This window comes from Homo sapiens, chromosome 17 (assembly GCF_000001405.40).
Source record: "Homo sapiens chromosome 17, GRCh38.p14 Primary Assembly".
NCBI lineage: Eukaryota > Metazoa > Chordata > Mammalia > Primates > Hominidae > Homo > Homo sapiens.
The window spans coordinates 6,636,600-6,656,883 of NC_000017.11; the positions used below are offsets into that span (position 1 = coordinate 6,636,600).

Sequence of the window (20,284 nt, forward strand, 5' to 3'; positions counted from 1 at the left end):
TCCCACTGCTCCAGGAAACGTCCCAATTTGTCCCTCTACATACCCTGGGGCATCTCCACGAAAACCCTCTCTCCCCCATGCTGAGATGCCCTTACAGCCAGTGCCTTCATCCGCAACCCATGACAAACCTACCCCGAACCTGTTCCCTCCCACACAGCCCCAACTTCTTCCCTACACACACTACTGGAACGCCCCCCTCAATCTAGCCTCCCCCACATAACTCTCTCCCAAATTGCTCCCTCTCACTCTGACTGCAGACACTCCTCCAGCCAGCCTCCTCCCACTTGGCTGTAGGTGGTCTCTGAAATGGCCAAGGCCTATTTCCTCCCTTGAAACTGAGGGTACCCCCACAGCTGTTCTTGTCCCTGACATGCCTAGAGCATTCTCATAGGCTGTTTCTTCCCCCAAAGACCTTGGACAGCTCCATAACCTGGCCCCAGGCACACAGGTGTGAGATGTCCCCACAGCCTGGCTGCCCCCGGCCAGTCCCAAAATATTCCCACCTCCTGTCTCATCCTCTGAAGCCCCCACTCCCCCTGTGGACTGTCTCCTCAGCACGGTCAGACCTGAGACACCCACGTCCGCTTCTGCTCCTGAGGACCCAGTCACCCACACCGCAGCAGGCGCACGCCCTGCCATGGGAGCTCCTACAGCTGCAAGCACCCCCAGAGGCAGAGGCACCCTCCCGGCCTCGGGAATGGCTCCACCGTGTCTCCTTCTCCACAGGCCTGAGACACCTTCAGAGCCTGTCTCCCCCTCCACAGGTCCAGGAACCCTGGCAGCTGTGGGCCCCTCAGTGGCCAGTCTCCTTCCCCATATGCCTGAGCCGTCATCCCCAGAGCCCGTATCCCCTACCATTGGCCCTGGAAGCCCGGGAGCTGTGGGCACTCCCACGGCCATGGAACCTCTAGCAGCCACAGGCCTCCCAGCAGTCTGCCTTCTTCCAGACAGGCCAGAGACATGCTCAAAGATGGTCCCCTCCCCCACAGACCCCAGCAGCCCCACAGCCATGGACACTCCTGTAGTCTGTCTGCCTCCCAACAAACCTGAGACACCCCCAGAGCCAGTCTTCTCCGCCATGGGCCCAGGCATCCTGGTCGAGGTGGGCACCTCCATCCTTGTGGGACCCTTGGCATCTGCAGGTCCGCCCACTGTCTCTCTTTCACCCCACAATTCTGAGCCAGTTTCCTCTTGCACAGGCCTAGGCACCCTGGGAGCCACGGGCACCCCACTAGCTGCAGACAGCCCCACAGTGCCAGGCATTCCTGCAGTTTGCTGCCTCCCTGACAAGCCTGAAAAGCCTCCATCACCAGGCTCCAGCTCCACAGAACCAGGCACCCTAGGAGCCAGAAGGACTTCGGTGGCCACAGGAGCCCTGACCCTCTGTCTCTGTCCCCAGGGTCTTGGGATACCCCCAGAGTCAGTCTCCCCCCCAAGCCCAGGCCCCTCAGGCACCACAGGAACCCCAATAGTCTGTCTCCTCCCCCATGGGCCCGGGAAGGCCCCAGAACCACAATCCTCCCCGCCAGACCACAGCTTCTCCCGAGCCACGTGTCCCCCTGAAGCCACGGATTCCTCCCCGCCTGACCACAGCTCCTCCTGAGCCACGGGTCCCCCTGAAGCCACGGATTCCTCCCCGCCAGACCACAGCTCCTCCCGAGCCACGGGTCCCCCCGAAGCCACAGATATTCTGGCAGCCCGAGTCCTTTCCCACAGGTTCAAAATGTCTCTAGAGCTGCCTTCCTGACACACAGGACCAGACGCCCACACAGCAGCAGGCACTCTGGCAGGCACCTTTCCAGAGCCGGGCACACCCATTGCCATGAGGACCCCTGCTGCGGCACACCCCTGCCGGGGCACATCTGCTGCCCTGGGTATGCCCACCGTCTCAGACACCCCCACAGCCTGCCTCCTCCCACACTGACATGCAACATCTCCACAGCCAGCCTCCTGATCCACTGACCCAGGGACCCCTAAAGCTGGAGGCCCCAGACTCTCTGGCTCCCCCACAGCCTGCCTCCTTTCCCACGGGCTCAGAACATTCCCACTACAGGTCTCCTCTCCAAGCCCAGGCACTGCCTCGGCTGGGGGCCCCCCAAGAGCTTGCTGTCCGTCCCACAGGCCCAGGCCCCCGCTGTGGCTCAGCTCTTCTCCCAGGGCTCCAGGTACCACCACAGCCTGGGGCACCCTTACCATCTGTCCCGCTCCCCACAGCCCTGGGACACTCACACAGCCCGTGTCCTTCCCCAAGGCCCTGGGTACCCCTGTAGCCTGTTGTATCCCCCACAGGCCTGGGGCACCCCCAGAACCTGCTGCCTGCTCCCCAGGACATGATGACTCTGCAGTCTGCGCAGCTCCCCGTGACCCTGGATCACCCCCAGAGCCTGTCTCCACCCACACAGGCTGTCCCCTTTCCCTGAACCCTGGGTCACCTCCACATCTAGTTTCCTCTTCAGCAGCACAGGGCACCCCAACAGAGTATCCTGTGCCCCACGGGCCGGGCATACCCACAGAGTCTGTCTCCTCCACAGCCTGTCTCCTGTAACACACACCTGCGGCACCCACAGAAGTAGGCTCCTCCTCCACAGCATCGGACACCCCCACAGCCTGTCCCCTCCCCCATACGCCAGGGGTGGCCCCACAGACTGCTTCATGTGTCAGAGCCCCAGGAATCTGCGGGGACTGTCCTCTCCCCCACAGACCTGCAGCACCGCCACAGCCGAGCTCTCCCTCCATGGCTCTGGGCGCTCCCACAGCCCCAGTCCACCCCACGGTCCCAGGCTCGCCCATAGTCTGTTCTTTTTCACAAGGGCCTGAGACAAACCCATAGCCTATCTCCTCCCCAGTCTCAGGAACCCCCACAGCTTCTCCCCTCCACAGGTGCGGGGCCATTTCAGAACTTGACGCCAAAGCCCCAGGCACACTCGCAGGAGGCACCCTCCCAGCCTGTCCCTGTCCACAGAAGCCTAAGGCTCTCTCGTAAGCTGCCCCTAAGCCCAGAGCTGTGGGCCCTGAGGGGGCCCGAGGGATCCCCCTTGCCTGTTCCTTCACCCAGGGCCCTGTAAGACCGCCGCGGCTTGTCTCTACCCAGGAAGCTCGGCCAGGAACACCCCTTTCGACAGGTCCCTCTCCTGCAGGCACGGGATGGAGCTCGACTCTACTTCCTTCCCCACATCCCGAGGCGGCCCTCATAGCCTGCACCTTCAGCCACAGGTGCAGAATGCTCTCATGGCCCAGAGATCCCGGGCGACCTTTTCTCTCGCAGCCCCGGGGACTTCTATCTTCGGTCTCCTCCTCCCCAGACCCGGTCACCCACACAGCCCCGGCAAGCCCCACCACCTCGGGCTCCCCCACAGCCCCGTTCACCCACACAGCCCCAGGGTCCCTTGCAGCCTCGATGGAGCCTGGGGTCCCAGGAGCTCCCAAAGCCTCATTCGCCCCGGCGGCGTCGGCTGTCTCCGCCGCTTGTCTCGTCCCCCATGGCCGCTGACGGCCCTGTGGCCTTTCTGCACTCACACAGCGCGTCTCCCACTCCGAGGGCTTCGCCCGGCGCCTTGCTCCACGGCCTCGGGACGTCCCTGCGCCCCGTCTCTTCCCCCACGGCCGCCGAACCCCCCGCCCCGACCTGCTGGGCCCCACGCAGCGACCCGGCATCTTAGCCGCCTGCTCTCCCCGGCGCAGCCTGGGCAAGGCCCCACGGCGAGTCTCCCGGCTCATAGCTCCAGGGCAGTTCCCTTCCTCCCTACCGCGGCCCTGGGGGATGTCTTAGCACCTCGCTCCCTAAGCTGCTCCACACACGCACTCACACACTCCGCTCCGGCCTTGCAGCCTTTCTCCCTCCGAGCCCCTCACCCATCCCACCCCCGCCCAGTCTCGGGAACCCGCCCCCAGTCCCAGGCCCCCGTAAAGCCTAGACGGCAGAAAAGGTAACTGGGGGGACAAAGCAACAAAGGCTTTCCGAGTCAGATCTCCTCTCCCCCAAGTCCATGACTCTATGCGGCTTCCCAGAATCCCCCCCAGCCCCGGCCCGAGCCCACCTGGCCTAGGGTGAGGCGCGGCTACTGGGAGGCGGGCAACGGGGGCCCCCAACAAGGCCGCGCTTCCGGCCGCCTGCCCAGTCGCCATAGCAACAGGCGCAGGGCGGCTTGGGAGCCTTTGAGGCCCTGAACTATTTAAGGATCCAGGTGTTGCAAGGCGGTAAGTTTTGCAGCCAGTGTCCATGAGGTCGGGGCTGGGACTAGATTAGGGTAGATCTAAGCCTGGGCTTGGGAGTGCAGCTAGCGCAGAAAGATCTGAGGAACTAGAGCAAAAAGCCATGCGGATGGATTGTGGTCGTCAGAGGCTCCCGTAGTCTTTAGCGGCGCTGGCTTCCGCAGGCTCCGCCCTCTCTTGCCCACCCGGAAACAGCCTCGCCCCGCCTACGCGGGACCCAACCGCGGCGACCGGACGTGCACTCCTCCAGTAGCGGCTGCACGTCGTGCCAATGGCCCGCTATGAGGAGGTGAGCGTGTCCGGCTTCGAGGAGTTCCACCGGGCCGTGGAACAGCACAATGGCAAGACCATTTTCGCCTACTTTACGGGTTCTAAGGACGCCGGGGGGAAAAGCTGGTGCCCCGACTGCGTGCAGGGTGAGGCCGGGATTCGGGGGCTGCTGTCCAATGGAAATGGCAGGAAGGTCGAGCCTACGGCCAGAAGGGGGGCTTAGCGGAGGCAGAGTCTTGGTTCCAGACATCCGCGGAGCAATCTGAGCTGTCCCCAAGTCTCCTTCTATTAAATCCTACCCCGCCCTGCCAAGAGCGCTCTTCCTTTTACCACCTTACCCGGATGATCTTGGAATCTAGTTCCTTAAAACTTCTCACTCCCCCAGTACCATTAGTGTCTTACAGGATACGTGAGTTGGTCAGCAAATACATGTGCTTTCCATTGTTACGGGCGCGGTGGTGCAGGGGCAAATCGGGACTGGGATTTGGTCCTTACCCTTAACGTGGCTCTAAGACCAGAAGGGAACACCTGACTTGTGTTGACCTCTTCAGTTAGCTGCAGGTTAAAGTCTGAGTGCTTACCAAGACTGGGGGAAGGGGGAAAGAACACAGTTTATACGTGCCTGATTGTAGAGTTGACGTGCGATTATTTTATCTCAACTTTTTTTAAAGCTGAACCAGTCGTACGAGAGGGGCTGAAGCACATTAGTGAAGGATGTGTGTTCATCTACTGCCAAGTAGGAGAAAAGCCTTAGTAAGTGGCAATGTATAATCTACCTCGCAGACGTGCACAAATTGCATACTTAGGCGGGAAGGGCCTCAGGGACTTACTTACCCAGTTTGTCTTACAAGGTAATGTCTGACAAGTTAAACAATTAGAAGCTATTAAATACAAATTTAAAATGCCCACCTGAATTAAGTAAGGGTAATTCAACGAATTTGGTCTGGTGTAAGCCCAGAACTTAGCTGGCTTTACTTTTATATCTTAGTCACACTTTGAAACTTTGCACAGGGTAATTAGTAGATTAAGCCATAGTCCGCAAGGTTTTTTAAGTGTTTGCAAGAACAGTGATTACTAAAAAATTAAATGTAGGACTATGTCAAATATTAAGCAAACTGTAATAAACCAAGTAAATTTTTTTCATGATCACTTTTTCTTTTCGAATAGTTGGAAAGATCCAAATAATGACTTCAGAAAAAACTTGAAAGTAACAGCAGTGCCTACACTACTTAAGTATGGAACAGTAAGTATCTTTAAATATGCTGGGCCTGTAATTCACTGTCAGAACTCTTTTAACTTGCTGTGGATCCAGATTTGAAAAGATCTTGACATTTCATCTCAATTCCATTGTTGTTCAGAGTGCTGCTGAAAGTCCATTCCTATGGCCAATCCCAATAAACTGATAATGTAAATATCTAGCTATTAGGTCTTTTTCATGTTAAGTCACTCTTAAAAAACCAGAAAGTAGGTTGACTCATAATTCCTTAAAACATTTGCATCAACAGTTGTTTTCTGTTTAATTCATAATTCTGGTTAAAAAGTAAGGGCATCTCTTCTAGTTCAGTCATGCCCCTGGGATCCTAAATTAAAGAGTTGAGGGGAAGAAGAGGGCACTGGGCTTGCTGTCTCCTGTTTTAGTCTGTGGAGCTTCCTGGTATTTGGGGTTTAAGTCTCTTGAGCCAAGTATGTTAGTGATTCATCTTACAGCAAATATATTGATTCTTTCATAAAACTTGTTATAACTAGATGATAGTTTCTGAATTGCGTAATTTCTGTGTTCAAAGATGAGTGTCATTCAAGGCAGAACTCATTCCACTCCTAATAACGTTTTATAGAAGTAGTGAAGATTTGACTGTTTTTCTCTTACAGCCTCAAAAACTGGTAGAATCTGAGTGTCTTCAGGCCAACCTGGTGGAAATGTTGTTCTCTGAAGATTAAGATTTTAGGATGGCAATCATGTCTTGATGTCCTGATTTGTTCTAGTATCAATAAACTGTATACTTGCTTTGAATTCATGTTAGCAATAAATGATGTTAAAAAAACTGGCATGTGTCTAAACAATAGAGTGCTATTAAAATGCCCATGAACCTTTAGTTTGCCTGTAATACATGGATATTTTTAAGATATAAAGAAGTCTTCAGAAATAGCAGTAAAGGCTCAAAGGAACGTATTCTTGAAGGTGACGGAAATACCTAAAAACTCCTAAAGGTGCAGAGCACACCTTCCAAATCTCTCAAAAGATCAGTATCTTTTATTTTAAGTTATCTCCATCTGCAAAGCAACTGATGATATTCCTGAAACCCCTTCTTTGATTTTGGAATGTAGAACCTAACCTCACCACTGAAGGAAAGCACATGACCTCTAATCTAGCCTCTGCTTAATTCAGGCAGTTTTGTTTTGTTTAATAAAAAACAGACTCCTGAGCACTAGAAGCAGTTTGTTTTGCAGCTGTCTCAATGTGCTTTACTTGGGATGAGGCAGGTGGCGGAGAGCGGCCGGAAAGACTCTATAACCCAGTTCTGGGAAGAACTCCAAGCTGGGAGTCAGTCACACTGACTCTACCACTTACTAGCTGTGTAACCACAGGCAAGTTACTCACCCCGTCCAAACCTCAGTTTTCTCTTCTATAAACAAGGTTCTTAGAATAAAATGAGAATTCAAGGAAGCACTTAACATAGCACCTGGTTTGTGGTACCTCCCAAATCAATGGTAGCTTTCCCAAATGAACACAAGTATTTGAGGCTCCTCATGTTTGTTCTAAAGTCAAGAGTCCAGTTAGTAACTAACCACTAGTTGTCCTGCCATGACTAGGTCAAGTGAGGCCACAGTGATTCAGTGATTCTTAAAGCCACCTTGCAAAGCAGGTAATACAGTTATTTCCTGTCCTGCAGAATTCAAGAACCTTTATGCAGTTCCTGTCCTATGATTTAAAGAGGTCAGTGACTCCGCTACTCTCACTACATCTTAGAGTAGAGTGGTAGAGTAGTTGATCTGAGACAGTAAGGTTCCAGGAGATGGTCTTGCCCTACTATATGTCAGGAACAGCTAGCCTTAGAATTCAGTATACTTGGTGGCCCACCCCTACCCCATGCCCCAGTGCCTTATTTGGTCTAAAGCACCTAACTTTTCCATTCTTAATCAGCTGATTATGCTAAATGCGTAAAAAAGAAAAACACCTTACAAATCCACAGGGAAATCAAAGAACAATTCAGGTTTAACAGAAATAGTCTATTAACAATAAAAAGTTGGATGAAAAAGCACACTAAAGGTTCTAGGGGCTACCATAATAAAGGTAGATAGGAAGAGTTTTCATTTTTTTTGTCTTCACTGTACAAAAGAAATACATTATATACATGTATTAAGTGCCTCGTTTGTATCCAGTTTTTCATTTTCCCGATGTGTTATTTTGCTGTTGCTGCTCTGCCAAGGCTTGCTGAAGGCGCATCCGCTTCCGGGAATAGTGCTGCCAATGTAGAATCTGCTGTTCATCAATAAATTTCGCACACTGAGCATTCACCAGCTCCTTTCGGAAGTGTTCATATTGGAGCAGCTCTAACATGTGTAAACACTGAGGGTACCTGGGTTTAAGTTTGTAAGTGAATGAACAACATAATTTAGGTAAATAATGCCAAGGTATAATTCAGTTATTCTCTTAAAAACGATCTTGTAGCCTACCATTTCTATAACAGTAACTTAGTACACTCTGGTAGCATAGGGTTTTTTCCCCGATTAGTCATCAAAGGTCAGTGTTCAATATTTTCGAAAATGAGAAGGTTTAAGTTCAGAAAGATTAAATTAACTTGCTCAAGACCACACAACACAGTAACTGGTAAGCAGAGTGAAAATTTAGGGACAAACCATGCTATTCCCTTCTAGCGGTTTCCAACGTGAAGAACATGAACATATTTTAGTAATTATGTGTTTAATTGATAGTTACTCATTTTTCCTTCAATAGGGATAAAAAGACAACTTTCATTTAAAAGTGAGTGTGAAAGAGGACTATGCGCATACATTGTACTCTTGTTGTCCACAGGGATATACCAATTCTGAAATTAGATATACTCTAGGATTGGACAAGCAAATATACTGTGGATAAGGACAGCCAAATTTCTGGCTATCAGAAAAGGAGTTATAGACATGGAAAGGAAAAAGGCTAGAATGAACCCTGTGTTACTGAGCTGGTATTGAAAACATCAGTATGTACTTACGGCTTTTAATATAGACATAGAATAAACATGTATATGTGTGTGCATGTATACACATACATACATATATATATAGTTCTTGAGCTTTGTGTACTGACAGGGCCTAGAAGCAATGACACTGTGGTACTAATGAACACACAATGACCAGACTGTGGTTTCCAAGGAGCAGGTTTCCTTGGAGAAAAGGGTGATTCAGGGATAAGACAGGAAAAGTACAAGATGAGCCTGGAACATTACGTAGTGCCAGAAGAAAAAGTGCTAAAAATTCCTGGGAGGATCAAAAGTATTCAGGAGCCAACTTGAAGGGCCTCCCAATGGCCAAATCTGGAATACTTAGCGCAAGAAAATACATAATTCTAATTCATAATTCTACTAAAAATAAGAATCCAAAAGTCCACACTAAATGGATGTAAATTTCTTTAATAAAATAATAGGAAACAAGGGAATATAATTCCTTACAATCGAATTCCAAACTAATAAATGCAGAATGATAGAATTAGAAAATCATCACAGTAAAAAATGTTTCAGGCAATTATCTTCAAAAGATGCTAAAACAGGCAAAATACATGTAATATGATATTTACATAGTCTCAAAGGATTTCCCTATAAGATACTTATTAAATACACAAGGAAAAATAGCAACTTAATATGGAGAAACCTAGACGGTACCACCCTCAACCAAGTTACCAAAATTTACGTCACCAGTAGTGGGACAAATAGACTTCATGTGACTGCAGATATATGAAGGATACAAATCATTTCTGTCATAGTCATGGAAAAGAAAAGACCACTGAGATGAAAGGAGACTAAGAAGACATGACAGCAAAATGCAACATACGGGCCTAGACTGGATCCTGCACTACATACAGCACACCAGCAGAACAACTGGCAAAATGTGAATGAGGTCTGTAGATTAGGTAATAATATTAATGTGCTGATTTTTGCTGATTGTAGTGTTACACATTTGGAATACGTGGGTGAACAAAATACAGGAATTATCTTTACTATTTTTCCAGCTATTTTGTAAGTGAAATTATTTCAAGTTGAAAAGACATAAAAGCTAACAGACAATTAAAATACATTAACATATAGGAAGTGTGGGGAAAAGAGATCAGATTGTTCCTGTGTCTACGTAGAAAAGGAAGACATAAGAAACTCCATTTTGATCTGTACTAAGAAAAATTGTTCTGCTTTGAGATGCTGTTAATCTGTAAATTTAGCCCCAACTCTGTGCCCCCAGAAACATGTGCTATATTGAATCAAGGTTTAATGGATTTAGGGCTGTGCAGGATGTGCCTTGTTAACAATATGTTTGCAGGCAGTATGCTTGGTAAAAGCCATCGCCATTCTCCATTCTCGATTAACCAGAGACACAATGCACTGCGGAAGGCCGCAGGGACCCCTGCCCAGAAAAGCCTGGGTATTGTCCAGGTTTCCCCCAACTGAGACAGCCTGAGATATGGCCTCGTGGGAAAGGAAAGACCTTACATCCCCCAGCCCGACACCTGTAAAGGGTCTGTGCTGAGGAGGAGTAGTGAAAGAGGGAGGCCTCTTTGCAGTTGAGATAAGATGAAGGCTTCTGTCTCCTGCTCGTCCCTGGGAATGGAATGTCTTAGTGTAAAGTCGACCATTCCCATTCGTTCTATTCTGAGATAGGAGAAAACCGCCCTGTGGCTGGAGGCGAGATATGCTGGCAGCAATACTGCTTTGTTGCTCTCTGCTAGTTAGATATTTGTGTAAAGTGAAACATAAATCTAGCCTATGTGCACATCCAGGCACAGTACCTTTCCTTGAACTTATTCATGATACAGATTCCTTTGCTCACGTTTCCCTGCTGACCTTCTCGCCACCTGTTGCCCTGCTACACTCGCCTCGCCAAGACAGTAAAAATAATGATCAATAAATACTGAAGGAACTCAGAGACCGGCACTGGTGCGGGTCCTCGCATGCTGAGTGTGCCGGTCCCCTGGGCCCACTGTTCTTTCTCTATACTTTGTGTCTTATTTCTTTTCTCATTCTTTCATCTCCACCTGACGAGAAATACCCACAGGTGTGGAGGGGCAGGCCCCCTTCAGGAAGTATGCAGATAAAGCCAAAGTTGCACAAGTGATATGCAAATGACTAAAGTGTGGAAAATAGGATACTACAGCAATGCTTCTAAAACTTTAATGTGTATATGGGTCACTTCTTAAAATGCAGATTGAATCCTTAGGCCTGGAGTGGGGCCTGAGCTCTGCATTTCTAAAAAGCTCCCAAATGAAACCAATGCTACTGATGTGAACACCACATTGAATAGAGGGCTTAATACCATGCTTCTAAGATAGTAACTTCCAAGACAGCAAAGATTTGCTATCCACACACTAAAAATACACAGTTGCTCTAATTGTTGGCTGCTTATGCTAGAATGCTCTATTCACACCTGCCCTGGCTAACTCCCTTTCATGACAGCATTAGTAGTTAAAATGACCAGGATGTTATGTTCCAGCCAGGTGGCCTTTAACAAGGTACTTAACCTCTCTAAGGTTCAGTTTCTTCAACTGTAAAATAATGTGACAACCAAGAGAATGGTCTCAAGTAGCATTTAGTCAATAACTAGAATTTAGACATGCAGTGATTATATCAGAATACCTTAGATGACAATAAAGAATCATACTCTGATAGGCTACAAGTCAACAAGATGAAATAGAAGCAGTATAAAAGGGAAGTTCTGCATTTGGTGTTTTTAAAAAGAAACAACATAGGGAGAACCCAACAGCATGATGAAAATAAGAACTGAAGGATTTTAGTTGACATAATGCTTCCAGCAAGTCAACAATGTGATCCTCTTCCCCACTCCCACCCCCAAAAGTAATATAAACTTAAGTTGAATTAACAGAGGTGTATGACCACATGAAGAAAAGAAAGGACCTCTGGCCCACTGTACTCTGACCACACCTGAAGGCCTGTGTTTAGTTCTTGGCTGAACTGCATAAAGTACAACTGCCAAATATCCAAAGGAGGGAACCTCAACTCATGAGAACTCTGGACACCATGGCACAATGGCAGAGGGTAGTTGAGAAAAATAGATGGAAGAGAGATGTTATAGTGGCACCTACTGGCTATCAATGAAGCAGGCCAAGTGGTAGAAAGTGTCTCTTCCACCAGGTGGAAAGCAGCTAGTAGTGACAGCTGCTCTCAGCTTCAGCCCAGTTGTTGACTTGGGAGAATTAAGATCTATGGTTACTAGATCTTCCAGATTTGAAAGAGTAGCTGGAAATCTGCATTTGTTATATACAACTTTCTGATCTTTAAATGTTGGCAAGTATTAAAAAAACTAAAATCTTCTGCAGACTGAATAAAACACCCAAAAGGGGCTAATTTGCAGTCTCTCTTGAATGTAAATATCTGGAAGGCTGTTGTCCTCAAGAGGGTATAGAATGGTTCTAGCTTCATCCAGGGACAAACAGACTGGGGCTACAAGGAGGTACATTATATCACAATATAAGGAAGAACTTTCTAATATCTGGCTAACAATCGAATCAGCTGTCCCTGACAGAGTAACACGGGCTCAATGGAAACCTCCAGAGTGTAGATGACCATCTCTCGGCAACGTTGTGGGTAAGATTAAACTTGTTGGTGGCTAAGGCTTCCAACACTGAGTCTGTAAATCTACATACATACAATATTCGTTGAAGTCTACTTTTCTTAAAAGTCTGTTCTTTGGATTATTAAATGGATAAAAAGCCAGAAAAGGTGCAAACGGTCCTGCAGGCAACATAAGACGTATGTGCTTCGTGAGTCAATTGTTATTGGACACAGAAAAGTGACTTTGAGAGAAGTTTGAAACATTTTCCTCTCAAACTTTTTTTTTTTTTTAAAGGTTCATTATTGCTTTCTACCTGCTTAAGACAAAGCAGGGGTGTGAGTTCAAGGTGGGTTGGTTTTTTTTGTTTTTTTTGTTTTTTTTTTTTAACCATTAAAAGGGAATTGCTTTGTGGTTATAATATGTTTCTTGCAACTTAGTAAGCCTTAACATGAAAGTGTCTGCTGAACGACCTGAATGGTAAATATATATATATAAATGAGTTAATGCATATGAAGCATTTAGCACTGTTCCTGGCAAATAAGAGGCCTTAAATAAAAGACAGCAACTCTAAGACTCAGGTAAGATCACCTCCTTCAAATAACCCCAGAAACACCTTCCTTACAGATACCCTCTTTTAATTTCAGCCCATGGCTTATGCTACTACATTTACAGATTGTGAGTTCTTAGGGACCAGAAACCTGGTGAGATGGGAAGGGTGGTAAAAGACAAGGTCAGAAAAGGCAGGGCCAGATCGTATAAGGCTTTAGTCCAAGAAAAAAGACTGGATTTTATTCTGCATGGAATGGAAAGCCATTGAAAGGTTCTAAGCAAGAAAGTAAAGTGTTCTGATTTATATTTTTAAAAGATTAAGCTGGTTTCTGTGTAGAAAGCTGTTTTGCTTGGTTTGGGTTGGGGTGGAGATGGGGGCAGGAAGGTAAAAGTGGAAGCACAGATAACCAGGGAGTAGATTACTGCAGTGTTACAAGTTAGAGATGAGGGTGTCTTGTATTAAGACGGTGATAACAAAAAGAAGTGGAGAGATTCCAAATACATTTTTGCCAATGTGAAACTAAGAAATCTATTATATAATAAAGTATACACATGCTTAGGATTATAAAAATTAAACTTACTTTAGATACTTGGCATATTCTGGGTCTTTCCAGTAAAGCAAGTATTTAAGATAATTAACAAAAGCTTTGTCTTTGAAGTAACCTCTTTGGGCAAGAACTGAAAAGCATTAAAAAAAAAAATCTGTAGGTCAAACCAATCCTTAAACTGTGATTTGTTACCCCTAATATAAAGGATCTATTTACATAACACCCCCACCACCAACACACATTGGATTCAAAACACAAGTCCCAGTACGCAATTATATCTATATACCAGCATAAGTGTAATGTCATTCAACTGAGAATGTGTAAAAGTAGATACTATTTTGAACTGCAACTCTTCTGTCAGAAATCATTAATAGCTACTCAATTTAATGAGGTGCTTAACAACTTACAATTAAGGTAATTTGGGTTGGCTAAACATTGCACAAATTCCAACTCCAACTGAAACCGAAGTCGATTTCCAGCATCATCTAGGAGACAAGACAGCAAAAATCATGGAAAACAAAGGTCACTGTATATAATACTGATTTGTAGTAAGGAAAGAGCAATAAAGAAACCTGACTAATGTTGAGATGGTCTTCCTAAACTAGGAGTGGGAGGAGATAAACCTTCCTTCGAAATCTAAGAAAAGCGGAGCCCTGATTAAAAGGAGTAAGTTAGAAGTTTCTCTAAAGTTAAAGAGAAATCATCAAAGAAAACAGCAACACAAACGGAGAATTCCTACCACTCGTGGGCCACTATGTAGGAATTTTAACAGTGATCACTAAGGTAGGCTGTAATAACTGTGGCTTCCCCTATTTTAATAATGCGTTGTAACAACTGTTAACAGTGATTAAGTTTCGCAAACGCTAGGGGCTGAATCAGTAAAGAAAAACTTAGGATGCAAGAGACTGCGGAGAGCCTAAAAGATCATGCAGCGCATGCATATAAGAAGCACCAGGGTCAGGAGATCGAGACCATCCTGGCTAACACAGTGAAACCCCGTCTCTACTAAAAATACAAAAAAAATTAGCCGGGAGCGGTGGCGGGCTCCTGTAGTCCCAGCTACTTGAGAGGCTGAGGCAGGAGAATGGCGTGAACCCAGGAGGCGGAGCTTGCAGTGAGCCGAGATCGCGCCACTGCACCCCAGCCTGGGCGACAGAGCCAGACGCTGTCTCAAAAAAAAAAAAAAAAAGAAGCACCAGTAGCAGAATGATACACAAGTCTGGCGACGATATTTCAAACTTAGGCAAGCTCATGTGAGAAGCAGAAAACCAATCAAGGAGGACACGGTTTAACACACAAGTCCTCTCCCTTAGTCTCACCCACGCCAGGGAGCTGGTGGGGTGGTGTCTGAATAGCAAAGATGTGCGAACAAACCAAATCAGGAAAACTGCAAAGAGTACCTTAGTCTTTCTAGACGCTACAAGAGCCTTCTCTCCTCTCTGTCCAAATATTAACCCTGCCAAGAGTAAGGCCTGGAAGGAGGCCACGGGGAAGAGGTCTGGGTCAAGGAGAGTTCCATCTGCGAAGACTCCAAGATCAGAGAGCTACTCACCTGTCTCCATAGCGACAGCAGCGGCCATAACAAACGAAGACACCAAAACGCCACCAGCCTGACAGAGCAAAAGCCCAGAGACGCGGGCGAAGTTCCGGAAACCACGGCTCCCTCTTCCGGTCCCGGGGCACTGTGGGATATGGGGCGGGGCGGCTCCGCCCATCCCCGACCAGCCCTGGGATGGCTCCACCCGCGCTGGCTCCAAAATAGCGAGGGGGCGGGGCCCGGGCCGTGGGAGCGCCTGAGGGGCAGGAGTCCAGTGTTTTAGCCTTCGAAGGACCATGGTGCTTCCACGTCATCGTGTTGTGGCGCTCCCGGCTATGGCAGTACCGTAGTTTTCCTCTCTTCTGCCTGCGGTGACCATTGGGCTGTAGGGTGCCCCGAGGCCTCCCTGGCCCCCTCACGCCGGCAGAATGGCCTCAGCCCGAGGGGCCAAGCAGTCTTCGCCCCGGGTGGGGACCACCCGCTACACAGAGACGTCCACGGTCCGCGTGGAGACCTCGTCCCACCGCGTGGAGACGTCGTCCCGGCGGGTGGAGACCTCCCAGCGCCGCAGCGAGGGGCCCTCCCTCTCCCCCTCGGGGAAGCGGCTCCCTCGCATCCTCGAGGCGTCCTCCCGGCACGTGGAATCCTCCTCGCAGCGCACGGAAACGACCTCCCGCCACGTCAGAGCCTCGTCCCTGAGGGTGGAGACGTCTCTGCACTGCGCGGAGAGCCCGACCCCGCGGGCCAAGCCGGCCGCCCGCCAGAACGAAAAAACGGCCCGATGAGATGCTGCTTCCCAAAGGCCACCAAGGGGCCAGGGCCCTCAGCCAGGACAGAAAGGCCTCCAGTTGCCAGCCAGCCAGCCAGCTGCCAGGTGGACCAATCATTTTCGGTTTCATGGAAACAAACCATAAATCAATGTAAGAAACAGCCAAGCCGCAGTTTCTGAACACAGCCAACGTTTACTGACCGTCCTGCGTCTTGGACCAGCCTACTTTTGACCCAGTGAACTATTTTCACTTGAAGCCAGCACAGAAGGTTTTCAGGCCCAGGATGCTGTCTAAATCGGGTTGATGGACAAAGAGAGGCTGTTTGAGCCTCTGAGCCAGGTGAGTTTGGGATCCACAGCCCTCAGAAAACCTTCACCCCTTAGGAACAGAGACCAAACTGAAATAATGACCTGTGGAATGATTCCATGCCTGCTAAAAACTCGAGGGACAAGGAACAGACTCATAAATTATTAATTGGCCTTTGTTTATGTTTCAAAGTAAATGGTCGTTTTCTTTATGCTAAGTCTTTGTACCTGGCACCCCCATCCATACACTTTTTTAAGGTAGGTTAGATGTGGTTAAAAATGACAGTAAACCCACCAGCAAGCAAAAATAATCTTAGAAAGTGAGAGGAGGTCACTGAAACCTGGCCTGAGGTTTGAAGAAGATGGAGAAGAGTTATATTTATTGAGAACCGGCTCTGTGCCAGGCACTAGATGTTCCTCCACTTACGATGGGGTTACCTCCCGTTGAAACTATTGTAAGTTGAAAATATGGTAATTTGAAAATGCACTTAATACCCCTAACCTACTAAACATCATGGCTTAGCCTAGCCTACCTTAAACATGCTCAGAACACCTAAAGTTGAGCAAAATCATCTAACAGAAAGCCTGTTTTATAATAAAATGTTGAATATCTCATGTAATTTATTGCATACTGTACTAAAAGTGAAAAAGAATGGTTGTAAGAGTACTTAAAGTACTATTTCTACTGAATGTCACTTTTGTACCATTGTAAAGTCGAAAAATCATAAGTCAAACCATCTTAAGTTGGGAACTGTCTGTATTCTGGGAACTTGGGCTATAGCAGTAAAAAAGGCAAAGTCCCAGCTCTAGTGGAGCTTACACTCTGGTGAAAAGGCAGACAAGCAATGATGAAACAAGACAATTTTCTATTGTGATTAGCACTATGAAGGAAATACATGGGTAATGTGATAGAGAATGGAAGTAAGTGGCTTCTTTTGATAAAATGGTCAGGGAAGGCCTTGCTGATTAGTTAACATGTAATCTGAGATATGTGTGAATGAACAGTGATCTGGAACAGGTGCATTCTAGGCAGAAGAACAGCAAATACAAAGGGTGGATGGGAACCAGCTTTGAATGTTCAAGGAACAGAAAGAAGGCCAGTGTGGCTGGAGTGAGAGAGAAGCAATTATATAGACATGGAAGCAGAACGGAAGAGAGGAGTTAAAAGCAAGCAGGGGCCAGTCCACAGAAGGTCTTCTAAGCCACAGTAAGGAATTTGAGATTATTCTAAGGTCAACAGGAAAACATTGAAGGGTTTCCAACAGGGGAACGACATGATGCCATTTACATTTAAAAAATATCCTTTTGGCTTCTGTGTGTAGAATGTGGGACAGTGGTTCTCAACTAAGTGTGATTTTGTCCCCCAGAGGATATATGGCAACCTCTAGAGACATTTTAGTTTGGTTGAAAAGTTGTTGGGAGGGGGTGGGTGGCACATTAGGTGCTACTGGCACCTAGCGGGTAGAGTCCGGGGATGCCACCTGACATCCTACAGTGCACAGGTCAACACCCTCCCCTCTGCCAACGATGAAGAATCACTGGTCCCAAAATGTCAATAGTGCCAAGGCTGAGAAACACTGACAGTTCTAGCAGCTTGGAAAGCTAGAGCATGGTCTACTGGGACAGCGCACCACTTTAAGGAACAGTCATGGAAGAGGGTTACCTTTAAAAGTAAAGAGAAATCATCAAAGAAAACAGCAACACAAATGAGACACAATACCTACCACTCATGGGCCACTATGTAGGAATTTTAACAGTGATCTCTAAGGTAGGCTGTAATAACTGTGGCTTCCCCTATTTTAATAATGCATTGTAACAATTGTTAACAGTGATTAAGTTTCGCAAAAGCACGTGCTGAATCAGTTAAGAAAAACTTAGGATGCAAGCTGAACAAGAGACTCCAGAGAGCCTAAAAGATGATGGAACATATGCATATATAAGAATCACAAGTAACACAATGATACACAGGTCTGGCGACGATATTTCAAACGTATGCAAGCTCATGTGAGAAGCAGAAAACCAATCAAGGACACGCTTTAAGACACAAGGAGGACACGCTTTAAGACACAAGTCCTCTCCCTTAGTCTCGCCCACGCTGGGAAGCTGGTGGGGTCGTGTTTGAATAGCAAAGGTGTGCGAACAAACCAAATTAGGAAAACTGCAGAGTACCTTAGCCTTTCTAGACGCTGCAAGAGCCTTCTCTCCTCCCTGTCCAAATACTAATCCTGCCGGGAGTGAGGCCTGGAAGGAGGCCCAGGGGAAGCGGGAGAAGAGGTCTGGGCCAAGGAGAGTTCTATCTGCGAAGACTCCAGGCTCAGAGCGCTACTCACCTGTCTCCAGGGCGACGGCAGCGGCCATAACAGGCAAAGACAGCGAATCGCCACCTGCCTAACAGAGGAAAAGCCCGGAGGGGCGGGAGGAGTTCCGGAAACCACGGCTCCCTCTTGCGGTCCCGGGGCACCGAGGAATATGGGGACGGTGGCTCCGCTCATCCCCGGCCAGGCCCGCTTAGCCCGCGCTGGCTCCGGAATGGCGAGGGGGCGGTGCCGGGCTGTGGGAGCGCCTGAGGGGCAGGAGTCCAGGGAGGCAGACTTTTACCCTCAAAAGGAATGAGTCCCAGAGCCTGGCACAAGGAAGACAAGTGTGCAAAGTTGGTGGAATGAATTCGGTGGCCTAAATGTACCTTCCTCAAATGCCACGGCTGACTGGGTCTCCTCGCCCACTTCACCCTCTCTTGCAATCCAACTTGTGAGGCGTGTGTGTGTGTGTGCATGTCCGCGCTTGCCTTTAGATGGAGGTTGGCTTCCCAGCCATCCAGGCTTGCATACACGTGCATAACTCCTACCCCTACCTCGCCTGCCTGCTGTACCAGGGGTTGATTCCTTCTTCCTGCGTGTTTTCTGTCCAAATCCTTTTCTGATTTGGACAGAAAACACGCAGGTGGCACACAGTAAGCGCTTAATAAATTTTCCGGCTACCTGATCTTCTTGGAATTGAGGGCATGCTCCTGTGCGCCCCTCATTGCACAGAGCTCCCTTGTCTGGAAACTCAGCAGTCACCGGAGCCGCCGTCGGTCCTCTCGCTTTCTCTATTTTAAAAAACGTTTCAACCGCTAGCGCTGTTGGATCTCTACCTTTCAGGCTTTATCACCTGGGGTGGAGTGGGTGGTGAGAGGGAAGGGATGGGGAGTCAAGACAGGAGAACGCTCTCGATTTCCCGACCCACCTCCCGTCATATCTCATGTCATATCTACCGGGTGTTCTACCCGGTCCTGTTACTTTTTTTCTTCCGCGAAAGCCCAAATTCCCATCACTGCTCTAGCTCTCTCCCAGATCGCCAAATCCGGATGTCTGTCTCAGGGAACGTCAAAGCAACATGCCCGGATGAGGTCCTCCCCTCTCCCCACCTCCCAGCCCTCTCCTCCTGCCTCCCCCGGTGTCACCCGCGCCTCCTTCCTCTCTTCACCTCCCTCTAAACAAGAATCCGGCGCAGTCAGTTCTAGACCCTGAGCATCTCCCGCGTCCCTGCCCAATATCCGTCCCGCCCCCGATCGCCCGCGTCCTCTTGAACCTGCGGAGCCCTGCTCCCCGCACTCCACGCCCTTGCTCCGAGCTTCCGAGAAAGCGGGGCAAAGGGAGCCAGAAAGAGAGAAAATGCGCACGGAGCAGGTGGCCCCGCGACTCCATGGTGAGGGGACGGGGCACGGAAGGTGGAAAGGCGCGCTCCCTCCTCCCTTTTTTCCTCCCTATGGTGGGCAGTTGGTGACACACAGTAAACGCTCAATAAATGTTTCCGCTACTCGATCTCCTTGGAATTAAGGGGATGCTCCTGAGCGCCCCTCATTCCACACAGCTCTGGTGCCTGGAAACTGCGGTCGCCGGAGCGGTCGTCGGTCCTCCCGGTTTCTCTATTTTAAAAGCCATTTCAAACCTCCAGCGGCCTCGCCACCTCTGCTGCAGACCTTCCAAGCCCTTCTGAAGCCGGAATGATTTCTCCCTAATTCACTCCCCCTGCTTAACACATTCGAACGGCTCCCGCTTGTTCTCGGGACCAAATCCAAAGCCCCTGGCGCCACCTTCGAGAGCCTCCGGACCTGCTGACCCCCCACACCTGGGCTCTGAGCTCCAGATCCAAGATGCTGCTCGCCCTCCCTTCCCCGCCGCTCTCTTTCTGCGCGCCTTTCCCCTGCCTTCCCTTTCTGTCACTCTCCCTGGCTGAGCCCTCTCCGCCTCCAGGTCTCCGGGAAGGTTGTCCCCAGGCCGGTGGGGCCCCTGCAGGTCCTCAGCCTCGGGCGGGGTGGGGTGGAGGGGTCGCACAGCGGGA

At 48.8% G+C, this 20,284-nt stretch overlaps 5 protein-coding genes and 2 non-coding genes across 16 annotated transcripts in view, besides 12 other annotated features; 3 read left to right on the forward strand and 4 right to left on the reverse strand.

The window, feature by feature from the left end:
• Positions 1 to 4,112, reverse strand: part of KIAA0753 — a 62,565-nt gene extending 58,453 nt beyond the window's left edge. For 9 of the 10 annotated variants that reach the window (NR_147086.2, NR_147087.2, NR_147088.2 and 6 more), the window contains exon 1: positions 4,038 to 4,112. The gene's annotated coding sequence lies outside the window, so the exon portion shown is untranslated. Of the gene's footprint in view, positions 1 to 1,046; positions 1,069 to 4,037 lie in introns of those variants that run through there. The other variant, XM_011524095.3, reaches the window with a different exon arrangement.
• Positions 162 to 944: an enhancer, noted in NCBI's record as "H3K4me1 hESC enhancer chr17:6540081-6540863 (GRCh37/hg19 assembly coordinates)". NCBI's record gives its function as "activates a minimal SCP1, AML or CMV promoter by ChIP-STARR-seq in naive H9 embryonic stem cells {active_cell/tissue: H9 hESC(naive)}" and the evidence as "EXISTENCE:reporter gene assay evidence [ECO:0000049][PMID:30033119]".
• LOC122526780 (uncharacterized) lies at positions 181 to 3,717 on the reverse strand. The gene has a single exon (NM_001396008.1). It carries the CDS (start codon positions 3,715 to 3,717, stop codon positions 181 to 183), a length of 3,537 nt encoding a protein of 1,178 aa, NP_001382937.1.
• Positions 945 to 1,726: an enhancer, noted in NCBI's record as "H3K4me1 hESC enhancer chr17:6540864-6541645 (GRCh37/hg19 assembly coordinates)". NCBI's record gives its function as "activates a minimal SCP1, AML or CMV promoter by ChIP-STARR-seq in naive H9 embryonic stem cells {active_cell/tissue: H9 hESC(naive)}" and the evidence as "EXISTENCE:reporter gene assay evidence [ECO:0000049][PMID:30033119]".
• Positions 2,671 to 2,740: an enhancer, noted in NCBI's record as "active region_11584". NCBI's record gives its function as "activates an Ori minimal core promoter by ATAC-STARR-seq in GM12878 lymphoblastoid cells {active_cell/tissue: GM12878}" and the evidence as "EXISTENCE:reporter gene assay evidence [ECO:0000049][PMID:35858748]".
• Positions 3,639 to 4,520: an enhancer, noted in NCBI's record as "H3K27ac hESC enhancer chr17:6543558-6544439 (GRCh37/hg19 assembly coordinates)". NCBI's record gives its function as "activates a minimal SCP1, AML or CMV promoter by ChIP-STARR-seq in naive H9 embryonic stem cells {active_cell/tissue: H9 hESC(naive)}" and the evidence as "EXISTENCE:reporter gene assay evidence [ECO:0000049][PMID:30033119]".
• Positions 4,461 to 7,942, forward strand: TXNDC17 (thioredoxin domain containing 17). Its single transcript, NM_032731.4, has 4 exons — positions 4,461 to 4,628; positions 5,154 to 5,235; positions 5,650 to 5,725; positions 6,352 to 7,942. Exons 1-4 carry the CDS (start codon positions 4,484 to 4,486, stop codon positions 6,418 to 6,420), a joined length of 372 nt encoding a protein of 123 aa, NP_116120.1. The 5' UTR covers positions 4,461 to 4,483; the 3' UTR covers positions 6,421 to 7,942.
• Positions 4,651 to 4,920: an enhancer, noted in NCBI's record as "active region_11585". NCBI's record gives its function as "activates an Ori minimal core promoter by ATAC-STARR-seq in GM12878 lymphoblastoid cells {active_cell/tissue: GM12878}" and the evidence as "EXISTENCE:reporter gene assay evidence [ECO:0000049][PMID:35858748]".
• Positions 5,121 to 5,180: an enhancer, noted in NCBI's record as "active region_11586". NCBI's record gives its function as "activates an Ori minimal core promoter by ATAC-STARR-seq in GM12878 lymphoblastoid cells {active_cell/tissue: GM12878}" and the evidence as "EXISTENCE:reporter gene assay evidence [ECO:0000049][PMID:35858748]".
• MED31 (mediator complex subunit 31) lies at positions 6,712 to 15,006 on the reverse strand. Its single transcript, NM_016060.3, has 4 exons — positions 14,902 to 15,006; positions 13,757 to 13,834; positions 13,383 to 13,479; positions 6,712 to 8,060 (listed from the first exon to the last, which is right to left on the reverse strand). The coding sequence occupies exons 1-4, from the start codon at positions 14,927 to 14,929 to the stop codon at positions 7,868 to 7,870; spliced, it is 396 nt and encodes a 131-aa protein (NP_057144.1). The 5' UTR covers positions 14,930 to 15,006; the 3' UTR covers positions 6,712 to 7,867.
• Positions 14,421 to 14,480: an enhancer, noted in NCBI's record as "active region_11587". NCBI's record gives its function as "activates an Ori minimal core promoter by ATAC-STARR-seq in GM12878 lymphoblastoid cells {active_cell/tissue: GM12878}" and the evidence as "EXISTENCE:reporter gene assay evidence [ECO:0000049][PMID:35858748]".
• Positions 14,571 to 14,650: an enhancer, noted in NCBI's record as "active region_11588". NCBI's record gives its function as "activates an Ori minimal core promoter by ATAC-STARR-seq in GM12878 lymphoblastoid cells {active_cell/tissue: GM12878}" and the evidence as "EXISTENCE:reporter gene assay evidence [ECO:0000049][PMID:35858748]".
• Positions 14,721 to 14,850: an enhancer, noted in NCBI's record as "active region_11589". NCBI's record gives its function as "activates an Ori minimal core promoter by ATAC-STARR-seq in GM12878 lymphoblastoid cells {active_cell/tissue: GM12878}" and the evidence as "EXISTENCE:reporter gene assay evidence [ECO:0000049][PMID:35858748]".
• Positions 15,101 to 15,180: a silencer, noted in NCBI's record as "silent region_8077". NCBI's record gives its function as "represses an Ori minimal core promoter by ATAC-STARR-seq in GM12878 lymphoblastoid cells {active_cell/tissue: GM12878}" and the evidence as "EXISTENCE:reporter gene assay evidence [ECO:0000049][PMID:35858748]".
• On the forward strand, positions 15,163 to 16,877 carry C17orf100 (chromosome 17 open reading frame 100). The gene has a single exon (NM_001105520.2). It carries the CDS (start codon positions 15,315 to 15,317, stop codon positions 15,669 to 15,671), a length of 357 nt encoding a protein of 118 aa, NP_001098990.1. The 5' UTR covers positions 15,163 to 15,314; the 3' UTR covers positions 15,672 to 16,877.
• Positions 15,481 to 15,530: a silencer, noted in NCBI's record as "silent region_8078". NCBI's record gives its function as "represses an Ori minimal core promoter by ATAC-STARR-seq in GM12878 lymphoblastoid cells {active_cell/tissue: GM12878}" and the evidence as "EXISTENCE:reporter gene assay evidence [ECO:0000049][PMID:35858748]".
• Positions 18,508 to 19,080: an enhancer, noted in NCBI's record as "H3K4me1 hESC enhancer chr17:6558426-6558998 (GRCh37/hg19 assembly coordinates)". NCBI's record gives its function as "activates a minimal SCP1, AML or CMV promoter by ChIP-STARR-seq in primed H9 embryonic stem cells {active_cell/tissue: H9 hESC(primed)}" and the evidence as "EXISTENCE:reporter gene assay evidence [ECO:0000049][PMID:30033119]".
• MIR4520-1 (microRNA 4520-1) lies at positions 18,841 to 18,910 on the reverse strand. The gene has a single exon (NR_039745.1). It is a non-coding gene; the product is annotated as a microRNA 4520-1 (primary transcript).
• MIR4520-2 (microRNA 4520-2) lies at positions 18,850 to 18,903 on the forward strand. The gene has a single exon (NR_039874.1). It is a non-coding gene; the product is annotated as a microRNA 4520-2 (primary transcript).

Bases quoted from the DNA above. Each gene is read 5' to 3' on its own strand.
- LOC122526780 (NM_001396008.1), bottom strand. From the start codon at position 3,717: ATGAGCCGGGAGACTCGCCGTGGGGCCTTGCCCAGGCTGCGCCGGGGA.
- TXNDC17 (NM_032731.4), top strand. From the start codon at position 4,484: ATGGCCCGCTATGAGGAGGTGAGCGTGTCCGGCTTCGAGGAGTTCCAC. The intron at 4,629-5,153 runs GTGAGGCCGGGA...CTTTTTTTAAAG, and splicing joins GTGCCCCGACTGCGTGCAGG to CTGAACCAGTCGTACGAGAG. The intron at 5,236-5,649 runs GTAAGTGGCAAT...CTTTTCGAATAG, and splicing joins CAAGTAGGAGAAAAGCCTTA to TTGGAAAGATCCAAATAATG.
- MED31 (NM_016060.3), bottom strand. From the start codon at position 14,929: ATGGCCGCTGCTGTCGCTATGGAGACAG. The intron at 13,835-14,901 runs GTGAGTAGCTCT...CTTGTCTCCTAG, and splicing joins TGCTGTCGCTATGGAGACAG to ATGATGCTGGAAATCGACTT. The intron at 13,480-13,756 runs GTAAGTTGTTAA...AATGCTTTTCAG, and splicing joins CAACCCAAATTACCTTAATT to TTCTTGCCCAAAGAGGTTAC.
- C17orf100 (NM_001105520.2), top strand. From the start codon at position 15,315: ATGGCCTCAGCCCGAGGGGCCAAGCAGTCTTCGCCCCGGGTGGGGACC.